Consider the following 15,907-nt stretch of genomic DNA (forward strand, 5'->3'; position numbering starts at 1 on the left):
GTTATGGCTTTCAACTGTCAAGACTGAGTTCTCCCAAAGACACTGGGGGCTTAAACAATGTCGGCTCAGGAATGTAGCTCAAAACTGTAGATCCTCACAGTCCAACATGGCAGTGAGAGCTCCATCCATCACAACCCCATTCCAGGCAGAATGTAAGAAAGGTAAAGATACACAGATAACTTGTAAGGTGCCCATGACAACTTCACTATTATCTTACTGGAAGCACCTGGACACATGCCCACATGTAGGTGCAAGCAATGTTGGTGAATGTGGTCTTTATTCAGGAGGGGCACGTACCCAGAGACAAAATCAGAGATAGTATTTCTGTGGAAAAAGAGGAGAATAAATAACAGGGGAGAGACCAGCAATCTCTCCCTCACATACTCAAGTCGCCAGTCTTAGATCTGCACTAACCCTTCCAAATAAACGACTCTATCTGATAGAACTATATTTCCGTTATCAATGTCACTCACTAATTCAGAATACGGTTTAGTCAGCCAGGATGTCTAGAAAGTCATATTTTCAAAATTATCTGAATTAAGCTGTAATATTATTCCACTCCCCACCTTCCATTTCTCAGATCCCTTGGCAAAACCTTACCCTGAATGCTCATAACTACAGTAAGTAGTCCACTTCTTGTACCGTCTCAGAGAAATACAGGCACAGAAACACTGGAATTTCTTTACTTTTTTGCTCAGGGGCTGAGGACAGAACAAGCACAAAATTTAAGCTGCACTAATTTCCAACCAACTATGAGGTGGTCCACAAGGGCCCACAGGATCAACCGTGACACAGAATCTTTGACTAAGAGGGCCAGGAGCATGGGGCCATGAAACAACTGGCATCCACCAGGTGGGCGAGAGGTCAGGGCAGCCTAGGAGGCTGTCAGCACCACTGCTACCAGAACAGCTCTCAGAAAGAAAAGACCAGAGTAACAGTGTTTGCCTTTAGGCTGAGCTACTTGGTGTCTGTGCTGCTCACGTTCACAGCCACAGGACCCATCCCAATACCCATAGAGGCAACATGAAGGTTGGACCCAGAGACTGCTGTGGGCCCTGCCCTGGGCTCTCCACTCAGGGAGTATCACAGCACCTCACTCCTGGCCATAAAGGTAATACTTTCTCTTTTTTTTTTTTGAGACAGAGTCTTGCTCTGTCGCCCAGGCTGGGGTGCAGTGACGCGACGTCAGCTCACTGCAACCTCTGCTTCCTGAGTAGCTGGGATTACAGGCATTCACCACCACACCCAGCTAATTTTGTATTTTTGGTAGAGACGGGGTTTCACCATGTTGTCTAGGCTGGTCTTGAACTCCTGACCTCAAGTGATCTATCTGCCTGCCTCAGCCTCCCAAAGTGCTGGGATTACAGGCGTGTGCCACTGCGCCGGGCCCCTAATACTTTCAAATAAACAAATGGATGTTGTCATTGCTTTATTACTCATAGTTTCCAAGCAATATTACATATATAAAAGTCATTTTAAAAACAACCAGGTTTGCTAGAAAAGTGTTTTTTCTTGGAATCATGGATTTCTACACCATTCATACCTGGAGTCCTTTATATTAAATATATTATTTACGCAGGCACTAGGCAAAATTGAAGAAGTTTTGAGTTATCTCCTCCATAACCCCCACCTTCCCACATTCCCACAAAAAAATCCCACCCTTTCCCTATTATATGGGTTATTAACATTAAAAACAATAGGAAAATACACAGGCATTTCAATTTGAATCACTTTTCCCTATTTTTACATGTCTGGAGATGTTGGCTTGGTTATGAATTCAAAAGTTCTCCCAGAGTTCTTGATGATGATTCATAGAGAAATCTGAAACACAAATAAAGAAATATTTAGCTACAGAAAAAAGTGACCAAATTATCCAAATGTACATTTTCAAAAATATAATCTAAAAATGGTTTGCAACCATGCATTTAAAAACAAAGTTGAAATAATCTATAGATGTTTCATTAATTGTTTCTTGTATGTAAAATGGAGTCAGAATCCCCACAGCAGTCAGGACACATGGCACTGGAGCACAGGCTTGGGTTGACCGTGGACACCAAGCACTGCCAGGCAATGAAACGTGCTCACTGGGCAGTGTGCTATGCTGGTGAGCAAACAGGACGTGTGCTCTTCCTTTCCAGCACCCACAGTTCTGAGCCTATTTCTCTATTACACAAGAAAACAAGATAAATAAAAACTATGTGACCTACCAAGATACTCTACTACCATGACATTTACCTACTACCTCTAATAACCTGAAGCCTTTAGAAAAACCTCACTTTCCCACTCCCCTGCCCTACATCCCTGTCCCTCAAGGCGAGACTCTTCCTCCTCACGTCCTCCCCAGCCCCACCTAGGCCGCGGCTTTGGCTGAGAGCACTGAGTACTTTTCCTTGCCAGACGTTGTCCTCACTTCCCTGGCAGTGTGCCTATTTTAAGAATCATTATTAGACAGGTAGCATATCACTGTTCCTTCAAATACACATATTTACAAAGTGCGTGGCTCACCATGGCTTCCCTTTTTACTGTCCCACAACTCCTGCATGGCTCCAATGCTTGTTCCATTACAGGGCACTCCAAAGCAGTCTCCTCAGAGAAGCAATAAAGAAAAGCTCATCTCTGAATTCCTCCTGGACACAAATATCTACCTTTCACTCCAAATGAATCTCAGCGAGATTTAAAACTCTTACAATCCTATTGTCTTCCTGTGTCCAGCACTGCAAGTGAGACTCATGTCTACCTGGTCTTCACCTTTGGAGACAGACTGCTGTCTACCACAGCCCCTGTAATGTCAATGCCAGTCACATGCGTCATTTTACATTTTCCAGTAATCACATTGAAACAGGTCAAAGGGTACAATGGATCAAGACCTTGCTTCTTTTTATTTTTTTAAGCAAAATTCATCTTAATATATTTTATTTAACCCAACATATCCAAAATGCTTCAACTTGTAATCAATATAAAATTATTTATGACATAGTTCACATTCTCTTTTCCATACTGTCTTCAAAACCTGCTTGCACTTTCTATGAGGGCCACACTCAGCTTAGACTCACCAGGTTTCATGTGTTCAGCAGCCACTGTATTGGCCTGCATGAATCTAGAAAAATTTTAAGATTTTCTCTTTATTCCTGGAATTTAGGAATCTTATCCATAATTATTTAGCTGTGATTTTTTTTTTCCATCAATCCAGAATGTAGTGAAAGAAAAAAGGGAATCTGCATATATTTCTTTAAGCTCTGGGGAATTTTTTCCTATCGTTGTTGAATCACTGCTTCTCCTTGCTGTTAGGTCTCTCGGGCCTTTTCCCCCAAGTCTATCCCCACCCTCGTGACCTCTCCTCGTGAGTATTTATGGTCTATGTTCTGAGACATCTCTCCAAATTGACCTTTCTGGAATTTGACTATCACAGGAACCATCTCTGTAGTGTGTCTGTGACACTTGAGCTCTAGACTGTCCTTTCGGGGTTACAGTTGACTCTTCTTCAAAGACTCTTATTACTCACCCACCACTATCACTCTGGAAGCGCCTGGGCCACCCTCTGTGTGGTTATTTCTGCCTGTGTTGAACCAGGGGTGAGGGCACAGCTATGTGGAGGCTGCCATGCAGCGACACAGGAGACTCTGGGTGCCCCACAGCCCCTTCACTCTCCCAGCCTCGCTGGGCCTCTACTGGACCTGCTGCCTCAGGGTCTCCTGCCCATTCCCTGAGTCCCCCAAGGAGAAGAGAGTGCTCTCTGTCCACAGACCAGGTTCCGCCCACCTGTCAGCCCAGCAACTGCCTGGCTCAGCAGCAGTGCAGCCAGAGGCAAGACAGAGGAGAACAGGCCCAGGAAGTCATGAACCCTCCAAAATCTAAAATTAATTTTTTTTTTTGAGACAGGGTCACGCTCTGTCACCCAGGCTGAAGTGCAGCAGTGAGGTCACAGCTCACTGCAGCCTTGACCTCTCGGGCTCAAGCAATCCTCCCAGCTCACCCTCCCAAGTAGCTGGGACTATGGTGCACACCACCACACCCAGCAGATTTTTTTGTATTTTTTGTAGAGATGGGGTTTCACCATGTTACCCAGTCTAGTAGTGAACTCAGCTTAAGCAATCTGCCCGCCTCAGCCTCCCAAAGTGATGGAATTACAGACACCATACCTGGCCTAAAATTAATTTTTAATTACTCAAAAATAATATTGTCTCCTTAAGTGAACATGAATTTAAAAATACTTTAGAGAAAAATGTTACGTTAAAAGTACAGTTAACCCTCACTATCTGTGGGAGATGTGTTCCAGGACCCCCCAGATACTAAAATCCACAGATGTTCAAGTCCCTGGTATAGTGTTTGCATATAGTCTACCCACATCCTCCTGTATGCTTTAAATCATCTCTAGACTACTTATAATACCTAATACAAGGTAAATGCTATGGTAATAATTGTTATACTATATTGTCTATATACTATATCGTCTATATTGTTATACTATACTAATAGTTGTTATACTATATACTATATTGTTTATCCTATACTGTTATATTATATTAGGGAATAATGACAAGGAAAAGTCTGTTCATATTCAGTACAGGCACAACCATCCATTTTTGTCCCAAATATTGTCAAACTATGGTTGGTTGGATTTACGAACGTGGAACCCATGGATACGGAGGGCCAAGTGTTCTCATTTACCAGGTAGTAAAGAGCTACTTACACTGACCTAAGTCTAGACTGGCAACAAGAATGACTCTTTATCGTTATCCTGTAACAGATAAGCTAACTGAGGCAAAAGTGGTAAAGCAAACTGCCCATGACCACTCAGATGGGAAGGGCAGTCTGGGTTTAAACCCAGGCCATTTTTCTCCTGCTACTGGAACACTACTGCAATACAAATTTACTCATTCTTCTATTACCTGAAGCAAGAATTGAACACACTATGTAAATCAGAGAAATAAGAACTACTAAAGAACAAATGAAGAAAACAAAATGAAGGAATTTTAAAGTTGGAAGGGACAGTGACAAAAAGCTTAGACAAAAAGCTCCCTGGGCCAGGGTTCTCCTGATATGTAACAAGACACACAGACCAGACCATGTGCAAGTCCCCTCAGCACTAACGTCTGTAAAATGTGTCAAACACGAGGACTCAAAACTTCGCCACCTTTCCTTCTATGTCAGGTTAGGATCACATGTTGGTGATCACAGCCACAAGAAACACAGCAGAATCAATTTTTTGAGAAAAACCGTAAGATAAAAAGACAGTGTCTGTATTTATTAAAGGGTGGTTTTACACATGAATACTTTTAAATTATCCACACCAATTTCATTGGGTATGGATGATGGAAGCATACCACTAAATAAGCTATAAAAAGCATCCAGCCTCAAATTCGTTTAAAAAAAAAGACTGTTAAAATTAAAGCAGAATAAAATGAATTGATATTCATTTATCAATACCTGATAACAAAAGAGAGGCCATTTTCAGGGAGTACTCTTTCCCTTCAAGGTTTAATGTTGGCACCTACATTATTTTACTATTAACGTTGCCTGCAAGTAGAGGCACAATTAATATTGGCAAGTAATTTGCTTGTAATATGATTAGTGGGGAAAATTCATGAGGTAACACAAACCTTAAGAAATATATTATTTATATTTGTAATTTATTTCAAATTACAAATTTATTACTATCGATACAATTTATGAAAGCAATAAATTTAACATACTTGACATTTAAATGCACCAGTGCATGGGCAAATGCATGTTGTTTCTCCTCAGAAAATGTCCAGTTTACAATATGCTATATCGGATGAGGCAATTAAAATGCAATGAGATGCCGATTTTTATTTAGCACCCAAAAGACAGACCAGTCAACAGAATACTAGCCCTGAAAACTAGATTAGTTGTTAAGAAAACGTGCACTTTTAAATCAAGCTCCACTGCCTAAAATATTAATTGGAGCAAGGGGTTCCCAGATTCTTAAAGATGTTTACTTGCTTTAATGTCTCTAGTCCAACGTTAAATCAATAATATTTTAAAATACAGTCTTAAATCTTAATTGTTTATCTTCCGTTAGATTGATTTTTCTTGTTTCATCAATTTGTCAGATTGATTTTTTTAGACACTGGTTTTTCTATAGTTTGCTTCTTGCATATTTAAGTAAGAAGCCAATATTTCACAGTCCTGACCTATTTATTTTCTAGGATGTTTCCTTCTTAAAGGGAGGAGCTCTTTTTTTCATCTGTGTATCATCTTAGTAGAGGGGATGGCATGCAGGTGAATAATGGAGAAACAAAACGCTCCATCCCCAGTGTTCTGTTCATGTCCTTTTCCACATTGTAAGTTCTGAATTTCTCAGGTCTTTTCTTCTCTCAATGTAACTAACATAATTCAAGTAGTTAGCCTGAAACTAAGTATAAGTGGAAATGGAAGGCATTCCTAGTGAGAAACCAATGTTCCTCTTCCCTTTCATCTTCAGAATAGTATACACTATTCTATATCCAAATAAGCCTTCCTTGGCAACATTATTTCTTTTTTTCTTTTTTTTTTTTTTTTGAGATGGAGTTTCACTCTTAATGCCCAGGCTGGAGTGCAATGGCTCGATCTGGGCTCACCGCAACCTCTGCCTTCCGGGTTCAAGTGATTCTCCTGCCTCAGCCTCCCAAGTAGCTGAGATTACAGGCATGTGCCACCATACCCAGCTAATTTTTGTACTTTTAGTAGAGACGGGGTTTCTCCATGTTGGTCAGGCTGGACTTGAACTCCCGACCTCAGGTGATCTGCCTGCCTCAGCCTCCCAAAGTGCTGGGATTACAGGCATAAGCCACTGTGCCCGGCCAACATTATTTCTAATAAAGAAAAATGCTTAGACTTTTGAGGTTGTTACTACATCCTGTGAAAACAATTTAACATTCTTACAGTTGGTAATTCTGGTCATCTTGTTTAATATTTGTGCCTGATGGACCATTTACATCATTGCCACTTATTTTCTGAAATGGACAAGTGCTCCTCTGTCATCCCCAAATCAGACCACTGCCCTAAAAACAAGCTCCTAAGGCCAATAGTCTATTGGGTTTCCTCTTCTTCTTCTTCTTTTTTTTTTGAGACGGAGCCCTGCTCTGTCACCCAGGCTGGAATGCAGTGGTGTGATCTTGGCTCACTGCAAGTTCCGCCTCCCGGGTTCATGCCATTCTCCTGCCTCAGCCTCCCGAGCAGCTGGGACTACAGGCGCCCGCCACCATGCCCGGCTAATTTTTTATATTTTTAGTAGAGACGGGGTTTCACCGTGTTAGCCAGGATGGTCTCGATCTCCTGACCTCGTGATCCACCTGCCTTGGCCTCCCAAAGTGCTGAGAGGGTTTCTTCTTAAAATATAAAGTTGCAAAGTCTAACCTGATTAAAACTAGCATAGTGGACACTCAATCATTTTTAGAATAAAGTACATAATTGAATGCATTTCATTCACTCAGTCGCTAGGAGCCCAAACCCACCCACCTGCTTTAGTGCCCAGTTCAACGTCCCATCACCGTGGGGTGCTGGAAGGTCACTGGGGAAGGAGGGGACTTTCTCCAGGTTTCCGTAAGGCCCCCCTTTCTCCAGCAGACTCTGACAGCACAAGCAGCACACCAGACAACTACCCCACAAGCCCCCACCCCATCCGAGCCACACACAGGAGCCTGTGGGACTCAAGAGAGTAGGCTTTCCAGCTCCGGCTCCAGCAGCTCCCCAGCACCTCCCCTGCGATGGCTCCACATCCCCCCGGCCCACCACCCACCCAGGTGAGTGGACGTCCTCAGGTCCCACAGAAGGCCGCTAACAATTTCTTCCACGTAGGAAGCCAGGTCTCCCTGTCCGGGTGGGGGCTCCTTCCTTGGCGGCGCTCACCTAGGGTTGGAGGTGTTCTCTTCATCTGCTAGTCCTGTATTCTCTAGAGTTCTCTTTAACTCTCACTAGCCAATAACCCATCGTGCCAACTCCCTATAAAAATCCCTGACACTTGGCTGGGCACGGTGGCTCACCCCTGTAATCCCAGCACTTTGGGAGGCCGAGGCGGGCGGATCACTTGAGGCCAGGAGTTCAAGACCAGCCTGGCCAACATGGTGAAACTCCGTCTCTACTAAAAATACAAAAATTAGCCGGGCATGGTGGCGCATGCCTGTAATCCCAGCTACTCGGGAGGCTGATGCACAAGAATTACTTGAACCTGGGAGGCAAAGGTTGCAGTGAGCCAAGATCGCACCACTGCACTACAGCCTGCATAACAGAGGGAGACTCTTGTCTCAAAAACAAACAAAAAAATCCCTGACACTGAGCTTTCCCTATCCGAATCACTGCGTGGTTTTGGTCTTCTCCTGGAACCTGACAAACACACAGAAAAACATTGTTTTTTGTTTGTTTGCTTTTGAGACAAGTCTTGCTCTGTTGCCAAGACTGGAGTGCGGTGGCGCAATCTCAACCCACTGCAACCTCCACCTCAAGCAATCCTCCCACCTCAGCTGTCCATGTAGCTGGGACTATAGGCACATGCTACCACACCTGTCTAATATTTGTATTTTTTGTAGAGATGAGGTCTCGCTGTGTTGCTCAAACTGGTCTTGAACCCCTGAGCTCAAGCAATCCACCCACCTTAGCCTCCCATAGTGTTGGGATTACAGACGCGAGCCACCATGCCCAGCCAACATTGTTATCTCAGTACCTGACAAAGTGGAGTAAAGAGAGACCCTTTATTAAAATAAAAGGGTCAATTAATCAAGAACATACAGCAGTTCTAAACTTATATGCACCTAATAACAGGGCCATAAAATATATAATGCAAAAGCAGTCCTAAATATGATACTTGGACAAATTCACAAGCATAATGAGAAATTTAACACAAGTCTCTGTAGAATAAGTAACAAAAAATCAGTAAAAACATAGAAAAGTTGAGGTAACACAATTAACGAACGTGAACTGATCAGGTGGCACTCCACCTCTCTAAAACACACACTCCTATGCACAAGCACTCACAAATGCTGTGTGTGAGCCACAGAGCCAGTCTCAGACGTACAATCAAAAAAGACAAAAAAGAAATGGTGTTAAAAGCCACAGTAAACATAAACCTCATATCAAGTATAAAACCACACACACTTTGCTCTTCATCCGGACAATGCCCAAAATTATACTGAGGTATTGGGGTGGGCTGATACCTTCAAACAGGGAGAGAGGGACCATGTTCAGGAGGTGTATTCCTCGATTTAGGTGGTGACTGAATTTTTTTTTTTTTAAGACAGGGTCTCACTCTGTCACCCAGGCTGGAATGCAGTGACGTGATCTCGGCTCACTGCAGCATCAACCTCCTGGGCTCAAGTGATCCTCCCACCTCAGCCTCTTGGGTAGCTGGGACCACAGGTGAGTGCCACAATATCCAACTAATTTCTATATTTTTTGTAGAGACAGGGTTTTGCCACATTGCCCAGGCTGGTTGCGAACTCCTAGACTCAAGCAATTCACCTGCCTTGGCCTCCCAAAGTGCTGGGATTACAGCTGTAAGCCACCGCACCTGGCTTGTGAGTGCATTTTATAACAATTAATTCAGTGGTACACATATTATTTACATTCTTTTCCATATGTATATCTCAATGAGTAAATTCTATTCTATTAAAATCAATAAACAAAAACCACAAGCCATTTTGTTAATAAATTTAAAAATCTAGACCAATGCAAGAAATTGTAAATTACCAAAATTTATTCAGGCAGTAATAGGAAATCAGACCCAACTACTAACATAGAAGAAACAGGGAAAAGTCATCCCAGATTTCTGGGGGTATGTTGTTCCACAGCATCAGATGTGATTTAAACTGCTCCACAACACTGAAAAGGGAGAAGTTACCAACTAATGCTGAGAGCAAAACTGGTAGAGGTCCTACTGAAAAAACAAAAACAAAACACTACAAAACAAAACAACCAACAACCATTTAATCTTATTTCAAACCTAATGCAAACATTCTCAAATAAAATATTAGCAAACAGAATTCAAAAATGCAGCTGTTTTGATAGAATGAAATATCCAAGACCTGTGAGACAACTGTAAAAGGTGTTAACATGTATAATAAGAATTTCAGAAGAGAGAAAGGAACAGAAGAAATATTCAGACAATAATAACTGAGAATTTATCCAGGAAGCTCATAGAATACTGAATAGAATAAATGCCAAAAAAAAAAAAAAAAAAGAAAAGAAAACTACACCTAGGCATATCATATTCAACCTACAGAAAAATCAAACAAAGAAAAAGTATTGAAAGAAACCAGATAGGGAAAAATACACCTTATCTACTGAGGAGCAAAAAAGAATTATATCCTATTTCTCAGATACTACACGAGCCAAGAAGAGAGTATAGCGAAATGTTTAAAGTACAGAGAGTGGCCGGGCACGGGGAGTAATCCCAGCAATTTGAGAAGCTGAGGCGAGTAGATCACTTGAGATCAAGAATTCGAGACCAGCCTGGGCAACATGGTGAAGCCCTGTCTCCACTAATACAAAAATGAGCTGGGTGTGGCGGCGATGTGCCTGTATACCAGCTACTCAGCAGGCTGAGGTACAAGAATCGTTTGAACTTAGGAGGCAGAGGTTGCAGTGAACTGAGATCACACCACTGCGTTCCACCCTAGGCAACAGAGCAAGACTCTGTCTCAAAAAATAATAATAATAAATTAAATAAAGTACAGAGAGAAAAAAATTCATCAACTAGAATTATAAACTACATAACATTATCCCTGCAAAGAAATAAAGTAGAAGTAAAAGACTCTCTGACAAACCAAAATTAAGAGAATTAGTTGCCAGTAGACATGCCTTGAAAGAAGCATTAAAAGAAGTTCTCTGGAGGGAAGGAAAAGAATATAGGTCAGAATTTGGATCAACACAAACAAAGGAGAAGCATCAAAGAAGGAGTAAGTGAAGGTAAATAAAAACTTTTATTTTTCTTATTCTTAAATGACCTAAGATGTAGTTTGTTCAAAATAATAATAGCAACAATATATTCAATTATGTATGCTTATGTCTGCTTATACCTTAGCAAAATGAATGACAGCAATGATACAAGGAACGAGAGGCAAGGATTAGGATTATTTTGTTATTATATACCACCCTACCTGCAAAGTGGTATAGTGTCATCTGAAAGCAAACGTGGATTAGTTATAAATGAAAACTCCAACTCTAAAGCAACCACTAAGAAAGATAAAAACAAATAAAAATTCCAACTCTAAAGAAACCACTAAGAAAGGTTTAAAAAAAAAAAAGTATAACTGATATGCTAGGAAAGAAAACGGCATCATAAAATGTTCAGTTAAAACCACAAAAGACAGAAAAGGAGTGGAAGACAGAAATAGGAACAAATAACAAGGGGAACAAATAGAAGACAATAACAAATATGGTGGATATTAATCCAACTATATCAATAATCACTTTGAATATGGTACATATGCACCAATTTTAAGACAGATTGTCAGAGAAGATCAAAAAACATGACCCATTTATATACTGTCTATAAAAAAACCACTTTAAATATAAAGACACATATAGATAGAAATTACATTAGCTGGGTCTGGTGGTGTGTGCCTGCAGTCCTAGCCAATTGGGACTGAGGCAGAAGGATAGATTGAGTCCAGGAGTCCAGGAGTTAGAGCCCAGCCTGGGCAACACAGCAAGTCCTCATATCTTGGAAAAAAAAAAAAAAAGGAAATGAATAAAAAGATATACCATGCTTATTCTAATCAAAACAAAGCAGGAGTAGTAGTATTAATTTCAGGCAGAGCAGAATTCACAGTAAGAAGAATTATCAGAGATAAAGAAGAGCATTACATAATGAAAAGATGGTAACAATCATCAATGTGTGGACCTAACAACAGAGCATCAAACTGTGTGAGGCAAAAACTGACAGAACTGCAAAAAGTAATAGATAAGTCAGTTATTATAGTTGGAGACTATAACACCCTCTATCAGATCTAACAGGTAGAAAATTAGGAAGGACATAGTTCAACCCAAAAACATTGTCAATTGGATATAATGGACGTCTACAGACTACTTCCTCCAGCAACAGTAGAATACACATTCTCCTCATGCTCACATGAACACTCACCAAGAGAGAACACATTCTGAGCCATAAGACACACCTTCACGAATTTAAAAGAACAGAAACAATACAATGTCTGCTCTCAGGCTACAATGGAATTAAAAAAGAAATCAATAACAGAAAGCTGGAAAAATCCCCAAACACTTGGAGATTAAACAACGCAACTAAATAGGTCAAAGAGGAAATCACAAGAGAAATTTAAAAATATTTTGAACTAAATAAAAATGACAGCACAGTTTATCAAAAATTTGTGAGATGCATAAAAGGGAAGCAAGAATGATGGAAAGGCCAAACATGGTGGCTCACACTGGTAATCTCAGAACGTTAGGAGGCCGCAGGAGGCTTGTTTGAGCCCAGGAGTTCAAGGACAGCTTGGGCAAACATAGTGAGACCCCATCTCTGCAAAAAAATTTTTTTCATCAGCTGTGCATGGTGGCACACTTCTGTAGTTCTAGCTACTTGGGAGGCTTAGATGGGAGAATCGCTGGAGCCTGGGAGGTTAAAGCTGTGATCGTGCCACTACACTCCAGCCTGGGTGACAAAGCAAGACTCCATCTCAAAACAAAAAACAAAACAAAATAAAAACTGATGGGAAGAAAAAGGACAAAAAGATAAATAGAAAAAAAAAGTTTTTTAATGCGGAATAAAGCAGTGCTTACAGGAAAATTTATAGCATTGAAAGTACATATTAGAAAAGAAGAAAAATCTAAAATCAATCATCTAAACTTCCACCTTCGGAAAACAGAAAAAGAAGAGCAAATTAAATCCTAAGTAAGAAAAACAGAAACAGTAAAATCTAGAGCATAAATTAATATACTTGAAAATAAGAAATCAACAGAAAAAATAAACGAAACCAAAAGCTAGTTCTCTGAAAATATCAGTAAAAATTGATAAACCTCTAGCCAGGCTAACTAAGCTCTTCAGCTTCCAGAGTAGCTGGGATTACAGAAGCGTGCCACCACACCCGGCTAATTATTTTATTTTTATTTTTTACTTTTATTTATTTTTTTCAAGATGGACTCTTGCTCTGTTGCCCAGGCTAGAGTGCAGTGGCGCAATCTCAGCTCACTGCAACCTCCACCTCCCAGGTTCAAGCAATTCTTCTGCTTCAGCCTCCCAAGTAGCTGGAATTACAGGCACCTGCCACCATGCCCAGCTAATTTTTGTAATTTTTAATAGAGACAGGATTTCACCATGTTGGCCAGGCTGGTCTTGAACTCCCGACCTCAGGTGATCCACCCACCTCGGCCTCCCAAAGTGCTGGGATTACAGGCCTAATTTTTGTATTTTTAGTAGAGACAGGGTTTTACCATGTTGGCCAGGCTGGTCTCAAACTCCTAGCCTCCTGAGATCCGCCTGCCTTGGCCTCCCAAAGTGCTGGGACTATAGGCATGAGTCACCGTGCCCAGCCTAATTTTTGTATTTTTAGTAGAGATGGGGTTTTACCATGTTGGCCAGGCTGGTCTCAAACTCCTGGATTACAGGCATTGAGTTACTGCGCCCAGCCTACAAACCAAATTTTCTAGTGAAGTGAGCATTAAGTGTATTGTGTCTATAGAACAAGCCAACAGTCTATAAAAAGCCACGCTTTGGAAGTTTATTCACAAATTAGGAGTTTCTGATTTGGAAAACCTTTCTCCAGAGGAAGTAGCTATGGAGAGTGGTTTGTTTCCCTGGCAAAGGTGAATTTCCTAGTGCAGAGCTTTACAACGCTTCACCTATTTAGCTCATAAAATAGCAAGAAAAATTCTTTGTGGTTGATCTAAAAGTCAAACACAATTCAAAACCGAGTCTATAGTAAAATGCAGAGCATACCAAACAGCACACAGCAGCAAAAACACCCAGCTGCAAAGCAGCCCTACGAATACACTGGTAGCCTGCAGGCTGTGCGTAGCAATGGGCTGTCCAGCAAGGGGGAAATTACACACATCTCAGAGGCTCTGGAGGGACCGCACATCCCCATGTGGGTATTTGTCCGCTAGGTGTCTATCCTTGGGAAACGCCCATGGTTTCAATAATGCAGCAACCACCAAAAATAATGTCTGATTTTAAAACTAAATAAAATAAGTTTGTATGCCCTCACTTTTCTACAGTAGAATTTTGCAAATGACACTTTTGTTTTGTTTTTGAAGACAGAATTAGCAAGTAAATTAAACGTAAGCTAAAGGTCTTTGCCAACAGAAACATTTCTCTCCTTAGAGTCCCCAGTCTCCTAACCACCTGGGTGTAAGTAGCAGAAATGAAAATACAACCTCATGCAGATCCAAAGAAGAATGAGCAGTTTTAGATGATCACATCTGGTGAATATCTCTCCTTTACCTTTCAATGCTATCCTCTTCCAAAGTAATTTCCATGAATGTCTTTAGTTTTCTGTGAACAGTGGCTGCAACCTCCCTCACTTTTGAGCTTTTATGTTTACCTGGGAAAATTATATTAAAAGACAGAAAAGACTTTAACATCACTACACAAAGACAAACACTCTGGTACACATGTGGTACAACTTCCCTAAGCTGGGCCTCCCTATCCTTCCCTTTGAGGTAACCTACATACTGACCCGCGGAATAGTAATTCTCCCTTCTTTAGGGATGTTGTAAAGATCAAACAAACGTTTACTGGGAAGAAGACTTCAAATGGACCTCACCCCATGAAGCCATGAGAGGAAGGATTATGTCCATGCCAGCAAACCAATCCTGTTTCAGAGTCCTTCCCCTGTTTAACTATCGCAGGTAGTTAAGGATGTATTAAGGGCAAGGCACCTGGCAGCATCCAACATCCATCCTCAACATCCTCCTGGTGGTGATCTCAATGCAGGGGAGTCCCTGAGGGAAGTCTTTTCTTATGCCCAACCTGGGTCAAACCAGTTAAGGAGTATTCTTATCAATCTGCAGATATCCTATCCATTTAGGCTTACAGGGAGAGTTTGTTTCAATAGAAGCACTCCCTATCTACAATGTATCATCTCTGAAAATAATTTCAACGTTAGTAAAACTGAGCAAATAATACAGAAAGGTAAAGGCAGTCACCCTGCAGGGATGTTACTACATTTTATACTGAGCTAAGCATCTTATACATATCTCCAATTATTTTCCCAGTACTACTTGAACTGGTTGGGATATTCAGAATAGGCAAGGCTAAGGCTTACGAGAAATAGTAGATAGGTCAAATATTAACACCAAAATATCCGTCATCAACCAAAATAAATTCAGATTTTAAGATACAGGTAACACATCAAATCAACAGAAATTCAATGCCGAGGCACAGACAGGAACACTTAAATGGACCTAGTGGCAACAGGTGAAAATGAACAGGACCTCCACCACTGAAGAGTGAGCAAGCTGATATAAAAACAGATGCAGGGTGGGCTAAGGAGAGGAAGCCCAGGTGGACAGCACTGTGTCCAGCACATGAGAAGGCAGGGAGTGGAAAGGCTGGGGGACACCTGAGCTGGCCAGGAGTAGCCAAGTGCAGGGGCTGATCCCCGGAATCCCATGACAGCACCTGTGAGGTGCACCAGCCACCTTCCAGATGACAGAGGGGAATGTAACCAACCTGCATTAATAACCAGGATAATATGCACAGCAGCCGTGAGGCACACAATGCCTTCAATATCATTAGAAGCCACACATGCCTTTAATTCATCCAAAAATGACCTGCAAAAAAATCAACAAACATCAAAATTACTGTATCATATAGACCCTAATACATTATAGCAGAAGTACAGCCAAGGTTCAACCACAACCACAAACCCCAGTTTGCAGGGGACGTGGGAAGGTGACTGAACTCACCCCATGCTTTTCATGGAGAGTGTGCCAGATTGTACAGTGAGATATTAAA

At 41.3% G+C, this 15,907-nt stretch overlaps 1 protein-coding gene across 19 annotated transcripts in view; it reads right to left on the bottom strand.

Moving 5' to 3' along the window:
* The window catches only part of NCAPG2 (non-SMC condensin II complex subunit G2), a 73,636-nt gene continuing 59,001 nt past the window's right edge, over nt 1,273-15,907 (bottom strand). For 12 of the 19 annotated variants that reach the window (NR_104054.2, XM_047420547.1, XM_017012376.3 and 9 more), the window contains 3 exons: nt 15,623-15,723; nt 14,393-14,492; nt 1,273-1,821 (listed from right to left, as the gene is read on the bottom strand). Coding sequence is in view for 18 of the 19 variants with exons in the window: in XM_047420547.1 (XP_047276503.1) it covers nt 1,770-1,821; nt 14,393-14,492; nt 15,623-15,723 (253 nt within the window). In the remaining variant the exon portion in view is untranslated. Of the gene's footprint in view, nt 1,822-9,900; nt 11,659-14,392; nt 14,493-15,622; nt 15,724-15,907 lie in introns of those variants that run through there. The other 7 variants (XM_047420542.1, XM_047420540.1, XM_047420543.1 and 4 more) reach the window with 2 other exon arrangements.

The sequence above is a fragment of the Homo sapiens genome, chromosome 7 (assembly GCF_000001405.40).
Source record: "Homo sapiens chromosome 7, GRCh38.p14 Primary Assembly".
NCBI classification, from domain to species: domain Eukaryota; kingdom Metazoa; phylum Chordata; class Mammalia; order Primates; family Hominidae; genus Homo; species Homo sapiens.